At 39.4% G+C, this 3,847-nt stretch overlaps 1 annotated feature.

Annotated features, from left to right (window-relative positions):
• Positions 613 to 1,114: an enhancer, noted in NCBI's record as "NANOG hESC enhancer chr5:83223051-83223552 (GRCh37/hg19 assembly coordinates)". NCBI's record gives its function as "activates a minimal SCP1, AML or CMV promoter by ChIP-STARR-seq in primed H9 embryonic stem cells {active_cell/tissue: H9 hESC(primed)}" and the evidence as "EXISTENCE:reporter gene assay evidence [ECO:0000049][PMID:30033119]".

Genomic DNA, 3,847 nt, shown 5'->3' on the forward strand with positions numbered 1-3,847 from the left:
TGTTGTTGGTGGTGGTATTGGAAGTCCTGGAGCTCCAGGAATAAAACAACTAGATGCATAGGGCCATGGAAAATCTCACTAACTCAATTCTGTGGTTGATGTTTTTCAAACATCTTAAAATCCTTACCTGCTTTTGACAAACAGGCACTTTTCCTTACTGTGAGATATCTCCTTTCCCTTCACAGTTACCGCCCAACTCCATCCCAATGTTGCCTCCACAGTGATTTTATGAGGTATTATTTTCTACTGTATATATTCCCTGAAAATTTAGTTTCCCCTACCTGCAAAATACAGTCATATTATCACAGTGACCAGGTTCTTTTCATACTGTAGAACACTCCTTAGGTCCACACATATGGGATTACCTCTCTAGCACTCCTCTGCACCTCCGTGTACTTTCCCAACCATTATTTATTTATTTATTTATTTTTTAAGACTTACATGCTTCTTGATAATTGCTTTTCCTAAAAGTTATCTGACAAAATATGTGGTGTAATAAGCAGGTCTTAAAGGGAGACAATTATTACTTCCATCTTTGAAAGAATAAAAAAAAACATTCTCTCTTGCTAGCTTTTTTGAGATGCCATTTTAACCTCTATATTTTTTCCATTCCTTCCAGCAGCAATCCATAGTGTAGCAGGAATTCCTGAAGAGGCTACTGTTTGACCATTGCCAATTCAGATCTGTCTTAATGAGCAAGGCCACCAGGGGGAGCTCCTTGAGTGAGCGTCTGCGGGATCTCAGGAAAAAGGCAAGGCAAAACATGAAGAGGGTAGTGTATTTGCAAGACTGACATTCCCTGCCTTCAGGGGCCACAAAGACCACCTTCCCCGCTGGGCAGCTTACTGGGTAGGAAAAGAAACGCCCCACTAGAAAGAAGGAAATTGTTAGTGTTTAAAAGGAGATGGACAGGAAGCAATGCTTGACTGTTGGATGGCCAGGGGTGGTGGTGGTAAGGAGTTGATTACAGCATAGTGGGCATTCTGGTAATTTCTAGGCCTAGATTTTAGGAATCCATTAAAAGTCAGGGAGCTCCAGGAATAAAACAACTAGATGCATAGGGCCATGGAAACATGAAAACATGGATGAGAGCAGATAGCTTTATGAGGAATGGGGTAGTGGATCAGTACCAGGTGGTGGTCTACTGATGGAGTAAGTAACAGAAGTGAACGAGGGAAAAGGGGTATTTCTGTTGGCACAAGTGGAGTTTGTTAGAGCAGAGTGCATGAGCAGCTACAATGATACCAATGTAAAAGACTAGATCATTCGTTTTCGAAATGATGGAGGAAATGGTAAATGTCACAAGATGGAAGAAAAGGAAAAATGCATAGATGAATTTTTCCACAGACTTTTTTGAGCTAGAAAGAAGGAATTTGAAGAGACTAGAAGTTCCAGGAATTCTGCTCATAGTGCGTGAGTCAGATTTACTGTTCTGATACCATATTAAAATCCTATCATCTAGGATGACTTGGGAAAGACTATGCTGAATATTTTGTTTGTACGTACCAATCAAACAATATCTATACTTCCTGTCACAAAGACAGGGTATTTAGACCTTTAAATATGATATGATAACTTTCGATTTCCAGCATGTCTATTAATAATAATTTTCCCCCATATAAGCTATATTTTATTTGGTAAAACAAAAATGAGAAAGAACCAGAGCAAACTAGAAGGGCTAGCATTTTTCTCCCCCAGTTTGTGGGAGAGAATTCCATCTTAAATGCCACATTTATCTGTAGCTCAACTGTAGTAACACTGGCTGCAATCTCTCAGAAAGACAGTGAACCATTCCATCAAGCTAAGCAATAGTCTTCCACATAGTGGAGTGACTGGCAGACACATCAATGATGGCTCTAGCTGAAAGTTATGGTTGGCACAGCTCTGGCACTGCAAACGTTAGGAAGATGCCACCACAATAAACCTTCCATGGCCCCATGAATGAAGCTGCAGTAGTCTGCCCCTGGAACAGCTGGCTTAAAAGAGTTCTGTGTGCAATAGGCTTTTCTAGACCTGCAGACTGAAGTAAAAGCTGTGTGCAATTAAAAAAATATTTTAAATGTTGTGTTTGTATTTTGACACCAATGTTGGGGACACTAGGATAGTTGAGGCACATTACTGACTCCTTTCCAGCATGCTTTCTGAACTGAAAAGGGAGTGAATTCAGAGACTTGTGGCTTTAGGTGAGTTAGACCCTTACAAGTATGTTTGATTTTTCTTTCTTTCTTTTTTTTTTTTTTGCCTAACAAGCTATTTCTGAATTCATGAGTAAAAAAGTTCAGGATCAAAAATGAGCTGAAGGAAGATGAGAATGAGAAAGGAGAGACAGAAAGACAAAAAGAAATAGACAACGAACAGGCAAAGAGAGGGAGAGACACGGTATCCAAAGGAAAATTTATAGATATGCTTTCAAATGTCAAAATATTTCTTACCTCTTTTAGTTTATTATACTTTATTTAGCAATACCTATCACATTAAATTATAACTATACAAATGACAATCCTTTGAGTATCTATGATTAACTTTTCATGTGTTTTTTTCTGCAGAATACAATTACTAAGAATTCTTATATATCTATTTTGAACTATTTAATTTTACATGTAGTTATACAATTACTCCCAATTTCATTTAAGACCCTCAAATAAAGAAACAACAATATATGTTGTGTGTTGTGTCACAATTCATTGTGCTTTGATGAATGATTGTGAGTGCTTTACCATTTGCATATTACTCAGCTCCTTCATTTTATTGATAGGAAAATAAGCTCAGAGAGGGTTAAGTTTTGTTTATGAATTTGGCTCAATTATATATTAATTATTAGCTCATGTGTTCATTCTCCACAGACCTTCATATCTTTCATTGCAGTCTTCTCCCAATTCTTTAATTTCAAGTTAAGACAGAAAAGCTGGAGTCTAGGTGTCACACGGAAGTATTTTGGGGACAACCCCTGCTGAATGAGTTACATTTCCTATACTTGGCGCTAGCCAAGGTCATCTGAGCTTGGGAGGAAAGGTGTAGGGGAGGGGAAGAACAGCTCTTTTGCATTTGTACAGGGTCTACACTCACCTGGTTCTCCCTTTGGTGCTGTGGGGGATATCAATCAAGACAGGAAGGGACCTGTGGCCTGCTGTCAGTCCAGAATCATGGGAGTTGGTAGCCTCACAGATGTGCTTATGCTGTAGTGTCTTGGATTCCCTACAGTGAAAGTGGCTGAGGCAGGGTGCAGAGAGTGTCTGAGGATAGCTCCACATCTTCCTCCCTACGGAGAATCTCATGATATTTGATTGTTTCTTCATTCATTCACTCATTCATTCATTCATTCTACAAGTATCTGTAGAGAATAGATGTCTGAGTAGGACTAAGAATCGGCAGTGCATGAAAGCCCTCATGGACTGTACTCTAGTGAATCTTCCCAGACATCCAAAGAAGCGCTCACTGCCAGGTAAAGTAGAGGTGGTGGTAAAGGATGGTAGCTTCTGATGGCATGATGGAACAGCAAGTTGCCAGATGGAGAAAAATCCTCAACATGGATGGCAACAGAGAGGTCATTGATAGGATAGGTTGTGTCTGTATATCTCACCAGATGCCAGATAAGAGGAAGTGAGTGCCTCCTGTCCCACTAACTCACATCGCCTTCTATGTGTCCTAACGCTTAGACTAACCCCAGGATGAAAGAATGGCAGGGGGCAATGAATGAATTTGAGGAGAAACTAGTAAATTTGTAAAATAACTTGGAAATTACTAAAGTAACTGAATTTCTTTTGGAAATGACTCAATTACTTTTTTGTGTTTGTGTGTGTGTGTGGAGTATTAGGTGAAATATAAAGAAAGTAACAATCCTGTGTGG

Source organism: Homo sapiens, chromosome 5 (genome assembly GCF_000001405.40).
Source record: "Homo sapiens chromosome 5, GRCh38.p14 Primary Assembly".
NCBI lineage: Eukaryota > Metazoa > Chordata > Mammalia > Primates > Hominidae > Homo > Homo sapiens.